Source organism: Homo sapiens, chromosome 2 (genome assembly GCF_000001405.40).
Source record: "Homo sapiens chromosome 2, GRCh38.p14 Primary Assembly".
Classification (NCBI taxonomy): Eukaryota; Metazoa; Chordata; class Mammalia; order Primates; family Hominidae; genus Homo; species Homo sapiens.
In genome coordinates, this window is record NC_000002.12 from 112,644,705 (window position 1) to 112,666,693 (window position 21,989).

The following is a 21,989-nucleotide window of genomic DNA, read 5'->3' on the forward strand; positions in this document are numbered from 1 at the left end:
GCCTGGTATTTCTGGCTGGAATTTTTAAATCTCACTACAATCCTGACAAGAGACCACGACCTTAATCTCCCACGGCATGACTGGTTAGTCTTGATCGTAAGCCATATAATCAACACCCAAATGTGCATAACACATCTAAATAATGTCAAAACTACACTATATACCACGCAGGGGACCAGAAATCAATCTTTACCTCAAAAGGATAAGCTTCCAGGATGCAATAACATCCCCTTCCACCCTTTTCTACACCCTAAAACAGTAATATTCACGGTAACAGCAAAGCGGAAATCAGCTTTTCCTGAACATGTACTGAATTCTAGTCACATTCACACACGTTAATTCATTTAATTCCAGCCACAAGGTAGGCAGCCTCTGTTAACATTTTACAATTGTGAGAACGCAGAGATCTGGGACTGGCTCAAGGTGACACACTGCAGCAAGGAGTCAGAATTTGAATCCGAAGCAGTGTCCTTCCCCCTCGCAACAGCTGCGGCGTTACAAACACAGGTCAGCCACGGAGAAATTAATGACCCACAGCCATCCTTGCAGCTCTGCGCCATAACTGGGGAGACAAGCTGGTTCCCGTGACTCTTCAGTCTGTTTTCACCCAAGTGCATGACTGCGGGAGCAAAGCGACCACGTGAGCATCCCCCCCCCACCCCCCCGCTTCCCCCAGGCGAGGGACAGTGCCAGGCCAAGGACAAGTCACAGGTGCAACAACGTGCCAGAACTGGATCCGGAGCCCCAGGGCGCAAGATCTCCCGCAGCGTCACCCGGCAGAGGGACGGGTGTGGCCACCGGGCGCGGCAGGTCCTGCGTGCGCTGAAAGTGCGGCTGGAGGCGCGGACGGCTTTCCGGAGCCCCGAGAGAGGAGCTAGGAATGACTTTGGTCGCAGCCTCTGTAACCCCGCATGACGGCCTCTAGGGGGACAGCGAGGTCCCCCTCGATCTCTGGCTGTAATCAGCCGGCGGGGCCAGACGGTGCCGAGACTCCAGGGCGAGGCCGCAGGGAGGGGGCTGTCCCGCCCCACGTGGACCGGCTCCCCGCTGGGGGCGTGGCCGCCGAAGCGGGCCGGGCCAATGAGCGCCACCGTCGGGCTCACCCGGCTGGGCACGCCGGGCCGAGGAGGGCTGCGTCATGCCGGGGGCGGGGCTTCGGGGCCGGCGCGAGGCGCGGCGGGGTCACGCGGGTCGCTGCGCGGGCTATAAGTAGGGGCCGGCGGGGTGCTCCGCTGGAGTGATGGCTGCCGGCGCTCTCTGCGTGGTTCTTCTTCTCGGCCGCTGAAACCCCCGCGGCTGCTTCCTGGGAAGGTCGTGAGTCCCGCTGAGCTGTCCCCGGTGCCGCCGACCCGGGCCGTGTGCCCGTGGCTCCAGCCGCTGTCGCCTCGATCTCCTCGTCTCCCGCTCCGCCCTCCCTTTTCCCTGGTGAGTAGTGGCGCCGCCTCGTAAAGGCTCTTTCTTCTCCCCGGGGCCGGGCGCGGACGCCGTGGCGCTGGAGGCGGACGCCGTGGGCGGCGCGGCTGGCTTCTCTCTTCGCCGCTGGCCGCCTCCACTCCGCCCGTCTGCCCGCCCGCGGGCCTTTTTGGCGGTCCCCGGGCGGCGCGCGCGGGAACGGCCCTTTTCCGATTTTCGCGCGGAGGGCGCGCGCGGGCTGGCAGCGCAGGGGCTGGGCTGGGCGCGCGCGGGCCGCGGAGGACCCGGAGCCACGTGCCTCTCCTTCTCGCGCGTCCTACTGGGGATGGGGGTCTGGAGTAGCCGGCAGAGGCTATTGCGGGACCCCGGGCGCGTGGGTAGAGCGGGGTGCCCCACTGGCCCCCCAGGGGCACGCAGCTATTGTTATTTCCCCCCTCCCCCGCAGGATGAACTTGCGTCCTTTCTCTTCTCCGCCATGGAATTCTGCTCCGTGCTTTTAGCCCTCCTGAGCCAAAGAAACCCCAGACAACAGATGCCCATACGCAGCGTATAGCAGTAACTCCCCAGCTCGGTTTCTGTGCCGTAGTTTACAGTATTTAATTTTATATAATATATATTATTTATTATAGCATTTTTGATACCTCATATTCTGTTTACACATCTTGAAAGGCGCTCAGTAGTTCTCTTACTAAACAACCACTACTCCAGAGAATGGCAACGCTGATTACCAGTACTACAGCTGCTACCGCCGCTTCTGGTCCTTTGGTGGACTACCTATGGATGCTCATCCTGGGCTTCATTATTGCATTTGTCTTGGCATTCTCCGTGGGAGCCAATGATGTAGCAAATTCTTTTGGTACAGCTGTGGGCTCAGGTGTAGTGACCCTGAAGCAAGCCTGCATCCTAGCTAGCATCTTTGAAACAGTGGGCTCTGTCTTACTGGGGGCCAAAGTGAGCGAAACCATCCGGAAGGGCTTGATTGACGTGGAGATGTACAACTCGACTCAAGGGCTGCTGATGGCCGGCTCAGTCAGTGCTATGTTTGGTAAGTTCTTTTTATGTTTTGTCCTCTTCGTGGTGGGTGAGCAAATTTGTATCATGGGTGGTTCCATTTTTGTGCATAACCTTTCCGATTAACCTTTCTGAATGTGCCACTTACATAATGGAATTTTGATATTTACTTAATAAAACTTTACTATGTTTCAGGTTCTGCTGTGTGGCAACTCGTGGCTTCGTTTTTGAAGCTCCCTATTTCTGGAACCCATTGTATTGTTGGTGCAACTATTGGTTTCTCCCTCGTGGCAAAGGGGCAGGAGGGTGTCAAGTGGTCTGAACTGATAAAAATTGGTATGTTTAATTCCAAACGGCTTCTTAATTTTCGTTTTCGTCATATGTTACCATGGCATTAGGTATGGGAGGATGTGTTCTAACGTCGAGGGACAGACCCAAGAATTTTGAACTCTTAAACATTTAAAGTGGTTTTTGGTTTCTGATTTTCATTATTTGATATTTTTTCTTAATGTGTTCTATTCCAGTGATGTCTTGGTTCGTGTCCCCACTGCTTTCTGGAATTATGTCTGGAATTTTATTCTTCCTGGTTCGTGCATTCATCCTCCATAAGGTAACCTTTCTCCCCCGTATGAAGACCTTTCATGGAGCACACCCAATCGATTTCAAACCCAGTGGTACTTTTGCAGATGTGATTGGTGTATAGGTATGCGGCCTTGGAAAATTTTAAAAAGCTCTTTGTTCTGTGCATTTCTTGTATGTTGTGGAGTTCTCTGAAAGCGAGTTTTTAATACTCAAGAGGGCAGTCAGGAAGGAAAAATTGAATACTATGATGTGCCAAGAAGTAGGAGAAACTGGGAGCAAAAAAATAAGGAAATTTATTTTGCGTGGTTTTGTGTAGCTGTATACACATTATTTGTTTAAACCACTGTTATATTCAGGCTAATATAATACGTAAACTTGGAGTTCAAGACAGTGTCCCCTGTGGCTTTTTTAACTAAGCTGCCAGTTAAATGGGTCTCTGCCGTGCTGATTATCATAACCAGTTTATAAGCTTCTAGATGAGGACTCTGCCTCCCATAGTGACTTGACTCCAATTTCTCAGAATAGTTGAAAAGAACCAGTTAAAGGTAGTTTTTGGCCCGCCCCCCAAAAAAACTTCAGGCAGCCATTTAATTTCCTGTCCATTTGAAAATCCCTTTTAAGTGACCCAGTTTGCATTTCTTTTATCAAGAAGTCTTGCTGGCTGCAAAATAAATGTTGACAAGGGATTATGTTGGCATAGGACTGAGTTACAGTGAGGATAAATGCATTTTTCTCAGGAAACAAAGTTGTCCTTTTTCTAAGGTGAATGGCTCTTAACAATCCATTGTAAGTTCTTAAAAGTGTTCCTAAACTGTAGAAATCTGAGGGAGATAGCATAAATCCCAGCAGGTAAGAATGTATTCAGACCCACTTGTCTGGTCTAGTTGTAAGCTTCTCTAGGGAAAGATTTGTCTCTTCTCTGTAGAAATTCTATGACTAGTAAAGTGATTCACTAATCACTGTTTTCCATAGCCAGAATCTGGCAGAATATAGCAGTTTAACACTTTGAAAACTTGAAATATCTTTAGCCTGGTATAATATGAGAGTAAACAGTTCATTGATATTTATGGACTCCTAAGTTTGGTACTGTTTTATTCAGCAGACAGGTACGATAAGCATCTACCTTCCCACTCCCTACAACTGTAGTGTATGATACTGGGATGCTTAAATTAGAGGCTCACCAGTAGTCATGGACCAGATTTTTTTGTTTTTTTTAGAGTTTTCATTAGAACTGTATATCTTGCTACTTAGCAGAGAGTCAGAAGCATTAGTAGGATCTCCTGTTGTGAATTCCTGCTTGGTAAAGGTTTATGCTGGCCCTGTGTTGATTATTGAGTAGCAGATCATTTTGTTTTTGGAGAGGGTTTGTGTGTTTCACCTCCACAAAACACTTATTCCCCGGAAGGGGAATGGTGGTGCTCTGAGGTGCAAAGAGGGATTCTCAGGTGCCCAGAACCTCTCATTTGAGGAATGCATACCCCCACGGTGTTATTGAGGGCTGAAGTTAGATACGGTAACTGATTTCTTAATTGTATATTTCCTATATGGGTATGGGAATGGGCATGATCAAATGATGAAGAATGATTGGCATAGTGTTTAAAACAATATTGACTTTGAGGATCTTCCCCCACTCTGTGCACGTGCACACACACACTCTTGCAGGCCAATCCCTCAGTAACAGGAGTTTTCAGTTGAGTATGAATATTTCTGCTTCCTTTTAGGAGTTAAATTTCAAGAAAATATCCTTAGACTGGTAAGCTTTTGGTATCTTAACTGCTAAAATCTGAATATTTGACCATTAAGATATATTCCAACTCTTAAATGTCTATCTTGAAAATTAAGATTAACATGACCTTTTTTTTTAATTTCAAAAAATTGCTTTTAAACATTTTCTATTCTCTGAATGTTTGTTCCAAGCATGTTGGGGATAGGTGGGAACAGACAGAATGGAGGTGAGGTACTTCTATTTAGGACTGGCATCGCACAGAAGGAATATGCTTCAGTGCTCCTGTTGAGTATTTTTAAATTCTAGTCAAAGAAAATAGGGCTTTTGGCATTCTCATTAGTTAGAAATATATTTAGGATGTCTTCCCTTTTCTTTAGACAAAACCAGAATATCCAATATGTAAAAGTGAACTATTCTGGTGAAGATGGGGGGTTTTGTGAAGACCTTTCCTGTCCCACATGACTAGACGATGAGGCATTCACATTATTTCCAGGTGAAGTTTTACTTGTGTGTTAGGTGGATCTCTACAATGATGAGACCTTTCTTGTTTTACCTTCTTCCTAGACTCTCTGGAACTTTTGATTTTTTTTTAACCATGAACCTGTATTTCACAATAAACTATTGGTATAGTAGTGTCATTCATACCCTACCCCATCCCCAACAACTTTGCGTAGAGAATACCTCAGATTTGTTTACCTCAGGGAATACTTAATTGGGCTATGCTATACAGGATAATAAATACACAGGCTGCTACTTCAGACTAGTCAATTACAATTTGATTTATGGATAATCATATTACGAAATATCTTTGAAAATCTATTGAGAAGTCCCCACATAATGTCTTTAAAACCCAGGAAATTTTTGGGGGTGGGAGTCTTGGGTTGGGTTTTTTGGAGCCTTTTTTTTTTTTTTTTGAGACGGAGTCTCACTCTGTTGCCCAGGCTGGAATGCAGTGGCACGATCTGGGCTTACTGCAACCTCCGCCTCTCGGGCTCAAGCAATTCTCCTGCCTCAGCCTCCTGAGTAGCTGGGATTACAGGCGCCACCACACCCGGCTAGTATTTTTGTATTTTTGGTAGAGACGGGGTTTCACCACGTTGGTCAAGCTGGTCTTGAACTCCTGACCTCAGGTGCTCTGTCCGTCTTGGCCTCCCAAAGTGCTGGGATTACAGGCTTGAGCCACTGCACCTGGCTTTTTTTTTTTCTTAAGCGAAGTCTCGCCTGTCACCCAGGCTGGAGTACGGTGACTTAATTGTAGCTCACTGCAGCCTTGACCTCCCAGGCTCAAGTGATCCTCCTGCCTCAGCCTCCAGAGTAGCTGGGACTATGGGTGTGTGCCACCACATCTGGCTAACTTTTTATATTTTATAGAGGTGGAGTCTTGCTCTGTTGCTTAAGTTGGTCTTGAACTTCTGGGCTCAAGCCATCCCCTGCCTCATCCTCCCAAAGTGCTAGGATTACAGACAGACATGAGCCACCACCACACCTGACCTGCATTTTCTTAAGACTAGTCTTTAGAATAAAAATACACACCTTAGTTTCCTAATCTTGTTGACTGCCCTCAGAGTTTGACCACCGTTGAGTTAGTTATTCAAGGATGCTTAACAGTTCTTGATTTCTGTATGCTATTGTTTTTGTTTTGGCTATTTCACTATCTGTTAACATTCTCTATTAAACTATAGATAAGAGTTAAATTTTAGAGTGGTTTTCAATGAGTGCTCATCTCTGCTAATTTGAAATGGTACCTTTACTTTACACATGGGTCTGAGCTTTCCCTTGTTTCACTGGTCTTAAGCTACTAACTTTCCAGTGTATTGATTATTGTTGGAAGCTGTAGGGTTTTACTTTCTGTTTTTCCTCCCCAAGATTTTCCACTGGAATTGTGATCAAGATAACATTAAACCTTTTAGGCTAAGGTCTTTATAAAGTTTTTAGCCTTCCCATATATGTATTCAGATCTTTGCTCCCAATTTTTTTTTTTTTCTGAGATGGAGTCTTACTCTGTTGCCCAGGCTGGAGTGAGGTGGCCCAGTCTCCACTGACTGCAACCTCTGTCTCCCAGGTTCAAGTGATTCTCCTGAGTCAGCCTCCAGAGTAGCTGGGACTACAGATGCTTGCCACCACATCCGGGCTAATTTTTTTGGTATTTTTAGTAGAGACAGGGTTTCACCGTATTACCCAGGATGGTCTCGATCTCCTGACCTCATGATTGTCCTGCCTCGGCCTCCCAAAGTGCTGGGATTACAGGTGTGAGCCACCGCGCCCAGCCTCCTCCCATTCTTTCGGTGTTTGACTTGGGTGTTCTCCTATAGAATTAATACATACTAGGTATGGTAGAATTCTTATTTTTAGTCACTGGCCTTACTGTTCCTTAAACATTTCAAGTTTTTGCCTTAGGGCCTTTGCATTTGCTGATATCTCTGTCTGGAACATTCAGCGCCCAAATAATCAGGTGGTTTGCCCCTTCTGTACCCATAGTTAATGTACACAGCTTGCTAGCTTACTACATTTATGTCATGCTTATTCCTTGACCCTCCCCACCCAAATGGTGCCCCCCCTTCCATCACTCTCCTCTTACCCTTCTTTATTTCTCTTCACAGCATTTGTCAGTACTTTACATTATTCCATACTAGAAGGTGAGTGTCAGTTCTATTAGAACAGGAACTTGGTCTTATTCCCTCCTATATTTCGGTGCCCAGAATAGCACTTGGCACACAGTCTTTTGAGTGAGTGGATGACCTTGTGCACAATCAGTTATTATCATTGAACTTCGGTAAAGCATTAATTGTGGCATCTTTGTCAGATGTTTAGATAAGATGGTTGGCGTACGCATAGTCTGCATGTTGTATTTTTAGTCTTTGAAGATATGAAGTCAGGTAAGCAACATCCTAACATAGTCTATTTCTTGACATCTCTTACAAACGTAGAGTATAGCCTATCCTCAGGTGTGTGCTGAAGTTTATATTAGGGCTTTTGGGTACCTTAGAATGTGGGTATTGCAATCTTTATTCAGGATGTTATCAGTCACTGGTACAGTTAGTCTTGTTATTAAAAGAAAAAAGAAAAAAAAACAGGTAGAAGTTGGAATTAGCCTTCGTAGGAAGAATTCCAGATGCAAATGCAGGAAAAACTCTGTTGTCCTTGGAAACTACTCTGGAGAGAGTTATTGGCACTATAATTCCCAAACCTACCCTGTTAAAAGATTCTGTGGAAATGGGTTAACCTTTATACCTTTTAAGATATTGATCTTAATGATGTTTTACAGGCAGATCCAGTTCCTAATGGTTTGCGAGCTTTGCCAGTTTTCTATGCCTGCACAGTTGGAATAAACCTCTTTTCCATCATGTATACTGGAGCACCGTGTAAGTACCTATCAAAATATTTAAATGTGAATTTAAAGTTGTTTACAAAACTTGCATTAAATGCCCAATTTACCCCTTTTTGCTTTACAGGGCTGAAATCTCCTAGAAGGTGGCTGGCCTGCGCCCATTTCAGAAGGCTGCAGGCTAGTGTACGCTGAGTTAACCTAGATAGTTTTTCAACCAAAGAGACCTGCTCAGATTCTAAATCACTACAGACCTTTCCTCTTTAGTCTTCACAGGATCCACTGATAATATGATCATCTCCTTCCCTTTCTCCTGTCTATGCTAAAAATGCTGGAATTAATACTGACCTCAACTACTGAAGTCATTAGTTATATCTGATCTTCAGTAATCAGTCATTTAGGACTGGTTTGCTGGATATTCTCATTTTTCTCTCCCAAATGGAGATACTATTGTTTCTAAGTACTAAACTTCCATGAATCTGCTTGAATGAGAAGAGTTGGGATGTTTACCACCTGCTCTAAGTGCACTTGGAAGAAGAAATTCATGCAGCTAAGAGGAAAAATAATTTGTGAGAATATAAAGGTTGAAATGTTGATGACTTTCATGTTTGGGACTAAGGCAAGGCATGGATTAAATTATGGCGCTACAAGTTTAATTTAGCAACAACAAAAGATTGGTAACTTGTAACTGGCAGGACAGTACAGTTTTGGTATCTAGACTCATTTGGCCTGATGGTCTGTGACTACATAGGCAGTGACTTTTATTCTTTATACTGTGACCCACTGGATGAAATACAGGACACACATGTATGTATGTAGAGAGAAAGATAACTGGAATAGTGTCATGAAGCCACTTAATGCTTACTATGTGCTATGCACCCATATTTTCAAATTCTCTCTTTTTTTTTTTCTTAACATTTGTTGTGGCCCACTGAAATGATTTCAGTTTTGAGTAATGGGTTGTGACTTGCTCTTAAACCTCACTGAAGTAGTAAGTTGCTGACCCAAAGTAGAGTTAGCTAAATATTTTTATTATTTATTTATTTTTTTGAGACAGTTTTGCTCTTGTTGCCCAGGCTGGAGTGCAATGGCATGATCTTGGCTCACCACAACCTCTACCTCCCGGGTTCAAGCAATTCTCCTGCTTCAGCCTCCCAAGTAACTGGGATTACAGGCGTGCACCACCAAGCCCGGCTGATTTTGTATTTTTAGTAGAGACGGGGTTTCTCCATGTTGGTCAGGCTGGTCTCCAACTCCTGACCTCAGGTGGTCCGCCTGCCTCAGCCTCCCAAAGTGCTGGGATTACAGACATGATCACCGCACCTCGCCAATATTTTAATTTTTTACCTTATTTTAGATTGAGGGATTATATGTGTATTTTGTTAGATGGAGCTAAGTATTTTTAATCTTGCTAATTAATTCTTGGAATAATCAGGAACGAAACAGACAACTTTAAGAAAATATTGTTCTTACTTAGACTATACTGAACTGCTATGTGCCGGTGAAGAGAAGTTTGTATGCCAGATTTCCATTGTAAACAGTTCTTTGTGATAAACTAAAAAGTCTCCCATGATGCTCTTAACACTCATTCTTTATGTGGTAGAAGCAAAGCTCAGAGATGAGTGAAATTAGAATCATTTTAAAAACAGAAACTTAGATATTTTCGTTGTGTCCTTTATGGATCATTTGTAAGAAAAACCAGTCTCTTTCCTTTTTGACTTGGAATGTAGACCAACTTAAATTGTGATAGACAGTAATTTCATGTATATTTTAGTTTGTGTGACCACATGATCAAAATTGAAAGCAGAATTTAAAATGAAAAGATACATAGTCACCATAGAATTGTAGTTTGGGGCCGGGCGCGGTGGCTCATGCTTGTAATCCCAGCACTTTGGGAGGCCGAGGTGGGTGGATCATGAGGTCAGGAGTTCAAGACCAGCCTGGCCAAGTTGGTGAAACCTCATCTCTACTAAAAACTAGAAAAACTAACCAGGTGCAGTGGCAGGCGCCTGTAATCCCAGCTACTTCGGAGGCTGAGGCAGGAGAATCACTTGAGCCTGGTAGGCGGAGGTTGCAGTGAGCCAAGATCGTGCCACTGTACTCCAGCCTGGGCGACAGAGTGCGATGCTGTCTCAAAAAAAAAAAAAAAAAGTTCAAAAACAAAAAAAGTTTTAGTTTTGAAGGGACCTCAATTTGTTTCTAATTTTTTTTTTTTTTTTTTTTTTGAGACAGAGTCTCGCCCTGTCACTCAGGTTGGAGTGCAGTGGTGCGAACTTGGGTGACTGCAACCACTACCTCCCGGGTTTGAGCGATTCTCCTGCTTCAGCCTCCCGAGTAGCTGGGATTACACATGTGCATCACCACGCCCAGCTAATTTTTGTATTTTTAGTAGATACGTGGTTTCACCGTGTTGGTCAGTCTGGTCTTGAACTCCCAACCTCAGGTGATCCACGGACCTCAGCCTCCCAAAGTGCTGGGATTACAGGCGTGAGCTGCCGCGTCTGGCCTTGTGTCTGATTTTTAAAGATTAATCATTTTGGGGTATGATAGAATTTCCAGTTTATAAGTACAAACAGTCCCTGACTTCATGGTTCAACCTTCAGTTATTTGACTTTTTGATGGGTTTATAGGTACATAACCTCATTGTAAGTTGAGGAGCATCTGTGATTTCGTACATAACAAGCAAAATAAAGCAAAACAAGCAGAAGTAACTAAGCTATTCCTAGATATCAACTACAGATCATTATAATATCTTTTATGGGTTTTTTTTTTTTTTTTTTACCTTTTTTGTTTTTCAGGGATGGGGTCTTGCTGTGTTGCCCAGGCTGGCCTTGTATTCCTGGGCTCAGGGTGTTCTCACACTTCAGTCTCCTGAGTAGCTAGAGATCATTATAACATCTGTTAGATTTAAATAGGATTGTATAGTGCTTTACTTCTTTTCGTTTGTTTTTGTGACGGAGTTTCGCTCTTGTCACCCAGGCTGGCTGGAGTGCAGTGGCACGATCTTGGCTCACTGCAACCTCGACCTCCTGGGTTCAAGTGATTCTCCTGCCTCAGCCTCCCAAGTAGCTGGGATTATAGAAGCCCACCACCACATCCAGCTGATTTTTTTAATTTTCAGTGGAGACGGGGTTTCACCATGTTGGCCAGGCTGGTCTTGAACTCGTGACCTCAGGTGCTCCACCTGTCTCAGCCTCCCAAAGTGCTGGGATTACAGGTGTGAGCCACTGTGCCTGGCCAGTGCTTTACTTCTGTCTTTAGTACAGGCTAATGGTTTGGAGCCTACTGGCGTGCATATGACAGTCAGATAATGACTAATATTACTCATTCTTAAACCATGTGAACAGTGTTGCTAGGCAAGTCTTTTTTTAAGGTAAGACTTGTAAGTGAAATTACCACTAAACTTTGTGTGTGAGAAAGACAAAACTTTTTTTTTTTTTTTTTTTTTTTTTGAGACAAAGTCTGACTTTGTCACCCAGGCTGGAGTGCAGTGGCGCAATCTCAGCTCACTGCAACCTCCGCCCTGCCAGGTTCAAGTGATTCTCCCACCTCAGCCTCCCGAGTAGCTGGGACTACAGGCGCCCACCACCATGCCCGGCTAATTTTTTTTTGTATTTTTAGTAGAGATGGGGTTTTGCCATGTTGGGCAGGCTGGTCTCGAACTCCTGACCTCAAGTGATCTGCCTGCCACGGCCTCCCAAAGTGCTGGGATTACAGGCATGAGCCACCGTGCCTGGCTGAAAGACAAAGCTTTTACAACTATTCTTAAATTATCAACTTTTGATAGATAATATCCTTGTTTTCTGTATCTTGCTTTGATACTGCTTTCAAGGAGATAATCTCATTAAAGCATTTTACTAAAGGCCAGTATAGTGAATGTAATCACTTTTACACAGAATTGTGTCAGCATGACAAATGTGACTACTGAGACATCATTCTGTTAACATTAAAATAAGTTTGTAGGTGGTAATGGAATATGTGGCAGTTACGATCATGAGCTAGGAGAGTGGAACACTTGCTGTCTTTTTCATAGCTAGTCATAGGTCCTTAGCGTGTAGTGATCTTTATTATCTTCCAAGGTGAAGAAAGGAAAAGGCTCGTATGTTGAGAAGCATAGGAACTTGAGTCCCGCAGGTGTTCAAGTGGGCTAGGCTGGTGTGGGTTTTCAGATGATCATTGAGTTTTTCTCCCAAATTTGTATAGGCACTAGCACAGTAATCCTGTGCACTTAAATCTGGCAGCAGCTGTCAGGGGTGATGGGCTGGTATGGGGAACCCCTCAGTCCCCAGAGGAGGGTTTACACAATATTGCAGGGGGCTGTTGCCCTGGGGTTTTCAAGATGCACCATTTTATCTCCTAGTGCTGGGCTTTGACAAACTTCCTCTGTGGGGTACCATCCTCATCTCGGTGGGATGTGCAGTTTTCTGTGCCCTTATCGTCTGGTTCTTTGTATGTCCCAGGATGAAGAGAAAAATTGAACGTAAGTAATAACTAAACAGCAGAAAAGTTTAACTACTAATGTTGTGTTTATTTTTTATTTGGCCACCTGTAAAAATCTATTAGAAGAGATTGGCAAAATAAGAGATTTTAAAGGGAAATTTGAGGATATGGGTTTGTTGTCCAAACTGTTTTTAGAAATGGACTTACATGACCTAAGACCTGTTCTTAAAAATGGACTTACATGACCTAAGACCTAGTGATAAAGAGTATTCAACCTATGCTGTAGAGACAATCTGGGGCATTGAATTTTTTTATGTTCCTTGATCAGTTGCCAGTGACATGATAGATAAATAGAGAAATCATAGCCTACATTTACTGAGAAGTAGAAGGATACCTTAATGAAAAATAAGGGGTAGATACAAGATATTTTCGTAGAGGAAATATTTACCCCAACTGCTTCTGTGTATAACTTCAGATTCAGACAAGCAAAGCTAAGTCTAATGTGTACATGTTGTATATAGGCTAGAATACATGTAGACATTGTATTGCAGTATACAATGCAAATACATATACAAACACACATTGTGTGTCTGCTAGAATTGTAGCACAGATTCTAGAAGTAAACATTTTCAAGTGTCAAGGAATCATTTAGGCCATTACCACACACTCATGTAATTAAATACTGAGTAAATTTTGGTTAGTATCGGACTTTTTTTTCCTTAAAATAATCATTTTCTGCCCTTTTCATCGATGTGAAGGCTGGGTTAGCAAGTTGAAGTTTATCGTTTCGAAGCTGAGGGATGCATAGACTGCAGTGGTGTTAGGAAGAACGCTGCGTCACCGCAGCTGAACCGAAGAGCCTCCGAGAGGTTCTGTGCTAGTCTGGCTGTGCCGAGTGCACGGTGGGAACCAGGCTTTCAGGACTCTCTGGCCTCATTTTCCCTCTCTGGGAGGAGTTGAGACAAGTCTTGCTTTATGTTAGTCAGTCTGTAGTTTGACTGAGGTGCCTGGATGGATAGGTCAGCATACTGAGCACTGGCATGAGAGAGGCAGAAGATACTCTGGTCTGCCTGTGGGATTTACAGCCATGATGCACATCTCTTTGTTTTATAGAGGTGGAAATTAAAGTTGTCGTCTTTAGTTCCCTGCATTGAGCTGTGCCACTTTGCTTGAATTGGTGGACTGAAATTTGAGAGAATCCTCTTTTGAAAAGAATAGAATTGGGTACAGTTCAGATTTTTAGTTTCAGCTTATCAGCCCCATGGTTGAGCTACTTTCCCCTACAGAATGAGTCAGCAGGGAGCTAAGAAGGGTTCTTATATCTGTAAAGGGTTGTAAAAATAAAAACAAAACAACAATGTGCTACAGAAGCCCGTAAAACCTAAAATATTTACAGAAAAATTTTGGGACCCCTGACATAGGGTGTTCTGCATTGCTGGTTGTTCCCAAGTGAGAGTTGCTGGCAAATGATAAAGCAGGCAGGAAAAATGTTCCTGAATGTTAATTGAAGTTCACATACATTCTTGTTTTGAGATGAGTTTTTTGGGGGTGGAGGAAAGGAGACGTGGAACAAAGTAGTATGGCCACAACCAAACCAAAAAAGACCCCCCTTTTTTTTCCTAGGAGAAATAAAGTGTAGTCCTTCTGAAAGCCCCTTAATGGAAAAAAAGAATAGCTTGAAAGAAGACCATGAAGAAACAAAGTTGTCTGTTGGTGATATTGAAAACAAGCATCCTGTTTCTGAGGTAGGGCCTGCCACTGTGCCCCTCCAGGCTGTGGTGGAGGAGAGAACAGTCTCATTCAAACTTGGAGATTTGGAGGAAGCTCCAGAGAGAGAGAGGCTTCCCAGCGTGGACTTGAAAGAGGAAACCAGCATAGATAGCACCGTGAATGGTGAGTTGGAATTCCTGGTTTCACTTTTGTTACCTGCAGTGGTGAGGAGGCTTATTGTTTTGGATTTGATGCTTTTTGTATTGAATGTCACCTTGGTGATCTTGACTAGGTGCAGTGCAGTTGCCTAATGGGAACCTTGTCCAGTTCAGTCAAGCCGTCAGCAACCAAATAAACTCCAGTGGCCACTACCAGTATCACACCGTGCATAAGGATTCCGGCCTGTACAAAGAGCTACTCCATAAATTACATCTTGCCAAGGTGGGAGATTGCATGGGAGACTCCGGTGACAAACCCTTAAGGCGCAATAATAGCTATACTTCCTATACCATGGCAATATGTGGCATGCCTCTGGATTCATTCCGTGCCAAAGAAGGTGAACAGAAGGGCGAAGAAATGGAGAAGCTGACATGGCCTAATGCAGACTCCAAGAAGCGAATTCGAATGGACAGTTACACCAGTTACTGCAATGCTGTGTCTGACCTTCACTCAGCATCTGAGATAGACATGAGTGTCAAGGCAGAGATGGGTCTAGGTGACAGAAAAGGAAGTAATGGCTCTCTAGAAGAATGGTATGACCAGGATAAGCCTGAAGTCTCTCTCCTCTTCCAGTTCCTGCAGATCCTTACAGCCTGCTTTGGGTCATTCGCCCATGGTGGCAATGACGTAAGGTCAGTTGACATTGATCTTAGTGTTGCTAACCCTATTTTTAAACCATTTATCCTTGTCACAGGCCTGTGCTTGTGGTAGTGGTACTCCTAGCATTTACAGGACCCCAAATAATACAAATAGGATGAGGTAATAGCAGTTATTGACATAATAAGACAGTACAGTTTTATTCTTCAGAGGAATTACAAAGAATGTTTATTTTTGTAGATGATAAATATAAACAGATACTCTTCACAGAGAAGGCTTTTGTCCATCAAGATGAGATTCAGTTCTTTGGTAGTGAATTGTGGGATGTAAGATGTAAGATGAAAAACTTAAAAGTTTTTCATATAGAATGATTTTGTAGTTTGGTTTGTAAACTGTTTATTGGAACCTGAGAGTTGCTTTAAGCTGCCTATAGGAGGAAAGAGGCCACCATTTGCCTGGCATTCCCTCCATCAGAGCTGTGTTCATTTTTCTGTTGTGTATGTTGGGGTTCCATTTATGTCTTTAGAAAGAAAGGCCCTTTTGCCAGATGAGCTTGAAAGCTGTACTTTAGACAACCTGGTAGATCATTCAGCAGATTGGGTCTTGCCAAGATCTAGTTCTGCCTGAAAAGTCACTTCTGCCCTCTTTGTTTCTTCCAGCAATGCCATTGGGCCTCTGGTTGCTTTATATTTGGTTTATGACACAGGAGATGTTTCTTCAAAAGTGGCAACACCAATATGGCTTCTACTCTATGGTGGTGTTGGTATCTGTGTTGGTCTGTGGGTTTGGGGAAGAAGAGTTATCCAGACCATGGGGAAGGATCTGACACCGATCACACCCTCTAGGTAAGTAGGTGGAGCAGGTTCTACAAATGTCAGTACTCATTTTTTTCAGAGATATAACACTGTCGAGTGCTAACACAAATCTCTAAAGTAACCAAGTTTGTATAAGTTCATGATGTTCTTATTGTCATTGTTCTTTTTAGATTTTACTTGTCTGGCCCTTAAACATTTTGGTCAGACATTTTACCCATTTAGCTCTGGTGGTCTCTGAAGAAAATGACTTTTCTGAGAAAGCTGTGTATGCTAAGAGCGGATAGTTATGTATACTTGCCTTTTATTTGTCTTGGGAGCTAAGACTCAATGTTTACCAAACTCTTCAAAATAAAAGTGCAAATTTTATTTAATAGTGGGATTCCAGAAAAACGTAAAACTGGAAGCCTTTGAATAAGGAAACTGGGCATCTGTGGCCTGATTTAAATAAAGTAGATCTTAGGGGTTATAGCAAATAAAGATGTCAGTGGAGGTTTTGTGACTGAGTAGAACAAAGCAGGACTGTGTTAACTTGAGGTGTAGTGTTAGCTTCTCAAAAAAGTCAAACTCACTTCCTGACAAGAATCCTTTTGTGTCTGTAGTGGCTTCAGTATTGAACTGGCATCTGCCCTCACTGTGGTGATTGCATCAAATATTGGCCTTCCCATCAGTACAACACATTGTAAAGTAAGTGTAATGCCAATGTGTGTCTTTCAAATGGTTCTTCTAATATGTAGGGTTTTTAGTTTTACTTCTCTGATACTTTGATTTAGAAAGTTTTGTGCAGTTGGAGTCTTGAAGAGTTCATAAGTTATTTCTTGTGTTTATTCTTATTTAAGCAATTAAATAGATATTCTCCCCAAATAATAGAAACATTGTTTTATATACAGCTTACTGTAGTTTCTGGCTACTAACCTCTTCCTTTGTTACTTTATCCTCCCTCATTGTAGTCTCTTTATAATAATTTTTTTTTTAATCTCAAGAGTCATTTCTACTTGGCACCATTATGTTTTATTTATTTATGTATGAGTTGGAGTCTTGCTGTGTCACCTGGGCTGGAGTTCAGTGGCACAATCTCGGCTCATTGCAACCTCCGCCTCCTGGGCTCAAGTGATTCTTGTGCTTCAGCCTCTCAAGTAGCTGGGATTATAGGCACCCGCCACCATGCCTGGCTAATTTTTGTATTTTTAGTAGACACAGGATTTCACCATGTTGGCCAAGCTGGTCATGAACTCCTAACCTCAGGTGATCCACCTGGCTCGGCCTCCCAAAGTGCTAGGATTACATGCGTGAGCCACCGCGCCCGGCCGACAGCATTATGTTCTTTGCCTTTGGGGAAGCCATTCAGAGCAGGGTAGGTGTATGCTTAGAAACTGGCAGGTGCTTTAATTCTGGCCAGGTGGGTTTCTGCTGCCATTTGTGGTGGCTGAAGGCCTGGTTCTAACAAGTCTGTGAGGCTTGCCAAAATGTTGGCAAAGCAGTTTATTTACAGAAGGCATATTTCAGGGCCTCTCAGGATTGAAATACTGAGAAACAAAACAAATCTTAAGGTTGTTTGATGACAATCTAATAATTATAGGAGAAGGAAGAAACTGGTTTCCTTAAGAGCATTTAAGCTGGTCCATCATGGATCCTGCTGAGTCATCTGTTTGCTACCCGGATGTGTCTCCAGACAATTGTTTATTAGGTTTAATATCAGCCACTCTGTAAATAATCTTAGGAAGACTTACAATGCAATTTGTTATTAAAAGCAGTGTATAGGCCAGGTGCAGTGGCTCATGCCTGTAATCCCAGCACTTTGGGAGGCCAAGGCAGGTGGATCACAAGGTCAGGAGTTTGAGACCAGCCTGGCCAACATAGTGAAACCCCATCTCTACTAAAAATACAAAAAATTAGCTAGGCGTGGTGGTGGGTGCCTGTAATCCCAGCACTTGGGAGGCTGAGGCAGGAGAATCACATGAAACCAGGAGGTGGAGGTTGCAGTGAGCCAAGATTGCGCCACTGTACTCCAGCCTGGGCGACAGTGCGAGACTCCGTCTCAAAAAATAAATAAATAAAAGCAGTATATATTCATTAAATTTTAGCAGTAGCTGAGAAGGGGAAAAGAAATAGTTCTTGTGTCCTTTTACTACCGTTAGTATAGATTATGATTGGATTTTCAAATTGCCTTCATTTTCCCAGCTTAACCTGTTGTAAACCAGCTTTCTTGGACTTTGTCTTGTCCAGGGGTCTGGGGCTCCTTGTCCAAACAGTCTCAGGTGTCTGTTTGCCAGAATACCACTGGCACTTCAATAACCTGTTTCCTTGGTCTGCTTCTCTTCTAGGTGGGCTCTGTTGTGTCTGTTGGCTGGCTCCGGTCCAAGAAGGCTGTTGACTGGCGTCTCTTTCGTAACATTTTTATGGCCTGGTTTGTCACAGTCCCCATTTCTGGAGTTATCAGTGCTGCCATCATGGCAATCTTCAGATATGTCATCCTCAGAATGTGAAGCTGTTTGAGATTAAAATTTGTGTCAATGTTTGGGACCATCTTAGGTATTCCTGCTCCCCTGAAGAATGATTACAGTGTTAACAGAAGACTGACAAGAGTCTTTTTATTTGGGAGCCAGAGGAGGGAAGTGTTACTTGTGCTATAACTGCTTTTGTGCTAAATATGAATTGTCTCAAAATTAGCTGTGTAAAATAGCCCGGGTTCCACTGGCTCCTGCTGAGGTCCCCTTTCCTTCTGGGCTGTGAATTCCTGTACATATTTCTCTACTTTTTGTATCAGGCTTCAATTCCATTATGTTTTAATGTTGTCTCTGAAGATGACTTGTGATTTTTTTTTCTTTTTTTTAAACCATGAAGAGCCGTTTGACAGAGCATGCTCTGCGTTGTTGGTTTCACCAGCTTCTGCCCTCACATGCACAGGGATTTAACAACAAAAATATAACTACAACTTCCCTTGTAGTCTCTTATATAAGTAGAGTCCTTGGTACTCTGCCCTCCTGTCAGTAGTGGCAGGATCTATTGGCATATTCGGGAGCTTCTTAGAGGGATGAGGTTCTTTGAACACAGTGAAAATTTAAATTAGTAACTTTTTTGCAAGCAGTTTATTGACTGTTATTGCTAAGAAGAAGTAAGAAAGAAAAAGCCTGTTGGCAATCTTGGTTATTTCTTTAAGATTTCTGGCAGTGTGGGATGGATGAATGAAGTGGAATGTGAACTTTGGGCAAGTTAAGTGGGACAGCCTTCCATGTTCATTTGTCTACCTCTTAACTGAATAAAAAAGCCTACAGTTTTTAGAAAATTTGTTCTCATGGTTTTCTTTCATACTCGAATCACCTGGGCTCCTGATCAGTTAGCCTAATATCATTCTTAGGTGATGTGAATATCTTAACAAGTGAGAGCTACTGTCCAACTTAAAGCTCCCAACCCCTCCCTGTATGCTTCTTGTGTGCCCAGAATATGCAAGACATTACTCCATAGGGACTGTGGTGGCAACTTGGCATTTTCCCTTTTAGTAGCACAGCCTGTACACTTTCATGTTAGCACACGGGTGTTTTTTTTGTTTTGTTTTTCCAGTTTTTTCTTTTGATACTTTTTGTTTTTTTTTTTGAGACGGAGTCTCGCTGTGTCACCAGGCTGGAGTGCAGTGGTGTGATCTCGGCTCACTGCAACCTCCACCTCCTGGGTTCAAGCAATTCTCCTGCCTCAGCCTCCTGAGTAGCTGGGACTACAGGCGCCCACCACCACATCTGGCTAATTTTTAGTAGAGACAAGCTTTCAGCATGTTGGCCAGGCTGGTCTCAAACTCCTGACCTCAAGTGATCCGCCTGTGTTGGCCTCCCAAAGTGCTGGGATTATAGCCATGAGCCACTGCGTCTGGCCTACTCATGGTTTTTCACAGCCAAAGATTTACTGTTGAATGGACAGCTTTATTTTACTATTTTATGTAGATTGTTTTTAGCTTTGGTATTACGGTAAACCCTTGAACAGTGTGGAGGTTGGACACCAACCCCCATGCAGTCAAAAAACCATGTATAACTTTTGACTCCAAAAACTTGACTACCAGTAGCCTACGGTTGACCAGAAGCTTTAGCAATAACATAAACAGTTGTGAACACATATTTTACGTGTTATATGTATGTATTATATACTGTACTACGATAATGTAAGCTAGAGAAAAGGAAATAAAACCATAAGGAAGATACATTTACTATTCATTAAGTGGAAATGGATCATAAAGGTTTTCATCCTTGTCATCTTGAGTTGACTGAGGAGGAAAGGAGGAGTTGGTCTTGCTGTCTCAGGGATGGCAGAGGTGAAAGTAAGTCTGTGTATAAGTGGATTCTGCAGTTCAGACTAGTGTTCAAAGGACATCAGTACAAGGAAAGCAAAAATGAGTGGGAGGCAATGTGTAGCTAAGTTTTGTTTAAAAGTTCTCAGTATGGGATTCTTCAGTTCTGACCCATTATATTTTTGCCCCTGATCAGAAGTTAATGAAAAGTACATTTCTTGGCAAACTAGATTGATAGTTCCTGTCCTGAGGGTTTGGAACAATACTTTTGAATTTTGAGTTTATTTGGAGCGTTTCACTAGAAACCAACACTAAGAATCGAACAGGGTAAGGCAGTGCCTAGTCTAACCTGTGCCTGCAAGGTTAGGCCACTGGCTGGGTACATGCCGTTGCATCCTGCTGTCAGTTTAATGGTCTTGCAGAAGACTACATTTAATCCTCATGGCCTTTTGTGGTAGATCTTATCCTGATTTTGTACATGATGAAACTGGCGTGGAGAACATCTGTATTTGCCCAGTATTGTCAGTTAGCAGAGGGTGCCCGTTACTTGTAGCCTTTGGGGCTGGGTGAAACTAGCTTTATGACTTGTTACTTGAGGGAAGGGAGGGTAGGGGGCTGTTGTAAAGGGCGACCGAGCATTAGGCCTTGAACTGAGGGTCTGGGAGGAGACCCTCAGAGTTCTGGCACTGCCTTCCCTTCGTGCTGAATGACCTCACAAAAGCCCAGATCCTTTCAGAGCCCAGTGATTACATGGAGAAGAGGAACCTCCCTGGCACTTTCACTTGGCTCAGGACAGAACAGCTGAGAAAATACTTAGACCAAGCTTGTCCAGCTACAGACAATTTTTCCAGTGTGGCCCAGGGAAGTGAAAAGATTGAACACACCAAGGATGTGTTTCTGTAGGCAGAGCAGGTAGACCTGGGGAGAGGAGCCTCTAGAGCTAGGGAAGGGACCAGAGGAGCGGTTATATTTCTACTTTAGTTGTCTGCCATGGGGCAGGGACACATGGTGAGAACCCTGGCCCCCCCCTTTTTTTTCGGCATAGATATTGCCTTTTCTTTTTTTGAGACAGAGTTTCGCTCTTGTCACCCAGTTGGAGTGCAATGGCGCGATGTCGGCTCACTGCAATCTCTGCCTCCCAGGGTTCAAGCGATTTTCCTGCCTCAACCTCCTGAGTAGCTGGGATTACAGGCTTGCGCCACCACGCCCGACTAATTTTTGTATTTTTAGTAGAGACAGAGTTTCACCACGTTGGCCGGGCTGGTCTCAAACTCCTGACCTTAGGTGATCCACCCACCTCAGCCTCCCAAAGTGCTGGGATTACAGGCGTGAGCCACCACGGCTCAGCTGACATTGCCTTTTCTTAACTAAAAGTTTTTTGAAAATCAAGGTTGGGCAAATTGAAGAGCCAGCTGGTCCAACAAGGCTTGTTAACAAAAACAGGTCTGCCAACATTTCCCTTTCCTGAGGCAACCACTTTCAATTCTTTTGGTATTTGTCTCTTTATATCTAAATAATATACTTGTGTTACTATTTCCCTCTCGCATTTTTTGGCTGAGTGCGGGTGACACTTCTGGGACTACTGGGCCTTTGTCTTGGGTAGGAGTTCTCCACCAGGGGTGACTTTTGCTGTCCCCAGTCCCCATTTGTGACTCTCCCTTGTCCCATTTATGGTAGTAATATTTGGAGACATTTTTGGTTGTCACAATTGGGGGATGGTACTGACCAGAGATGCTGCTGTAAGCGTCCTACAGTACACAGGGCAACTCCACAACAGAAAATACCTGGGCTGAAATGTCAGTAGTGCTGAGGTTGCAGAACCCTGACATAGGGTGATCTGGTTGGGCTCTTTCCTTGGAGGAACCCCAGAAAAGCTTC

At 43.6% G+C, this 21,989-nt stretch overlaps 1 protein-coding gene across 1 annotated transcript, besides 2 other annotated features; it reads left to right on the forward strand.

The window, feature by feature from the left end:
• Positions 897 to 1,726: a silencer, noted in NCBI's record as "silent region_11875". NCBI's record gives its function as "represses an Ori minimal core promoter by ATAC-STARR-seq in GM12878 lymphoblastoid cells {active_cell/tissue: GM12878}" and the evidence as "EXISTENCE:reporter gene assay evidence [ECO:0000049][PMID:35858748]".
• On the forward strand, positions 1,235 to 19,121 carry SLC20A1 (solute carrier family 20 member 1). The gene is made up of 11 exons (NM_005415.5): positions 1,235 to 1,425; positions 1,859 to 2,458; positions 2,620 to 2,760; positions 2,949 to 3,034; positions 7,998 to 8,094; positions 12,418 to 12,537; positions 14,121 to 14,390; positions 14,500 to 15,058; positions 15,683 to 15,868; positions 16,438 to 16,522; positions 18,160 to 19,121. Exons 2-11 carry the CDS (start codon positions 2,125 to 2,127, stop codon positions 18,319 to 18,321), a joined length of 2,040 nt encoding a protein of 679 aa, NP_005406.3. The 5' UTR covers positions 1,235 to 1,425; positions 1,859 to 2,124; the 3' UTR covers positions 18,322 to 19,121.
• Positions 2,188 to 2,482: a silencer, noted in NCBI's record as "tiled region #7980; HepG2 Repressive non-DNase unmatched - State 2:TssF". NCBI's record gives its function as "represses a minimal TATA promoter and a strong SV40 promoter by Sharpr-MPRA in HepG2 cells {active_cell/tissue: HepG2}" and the evidence as "EXISTENCE:reporter gene assay evidence [ECO:0000049][PMID:27701403]".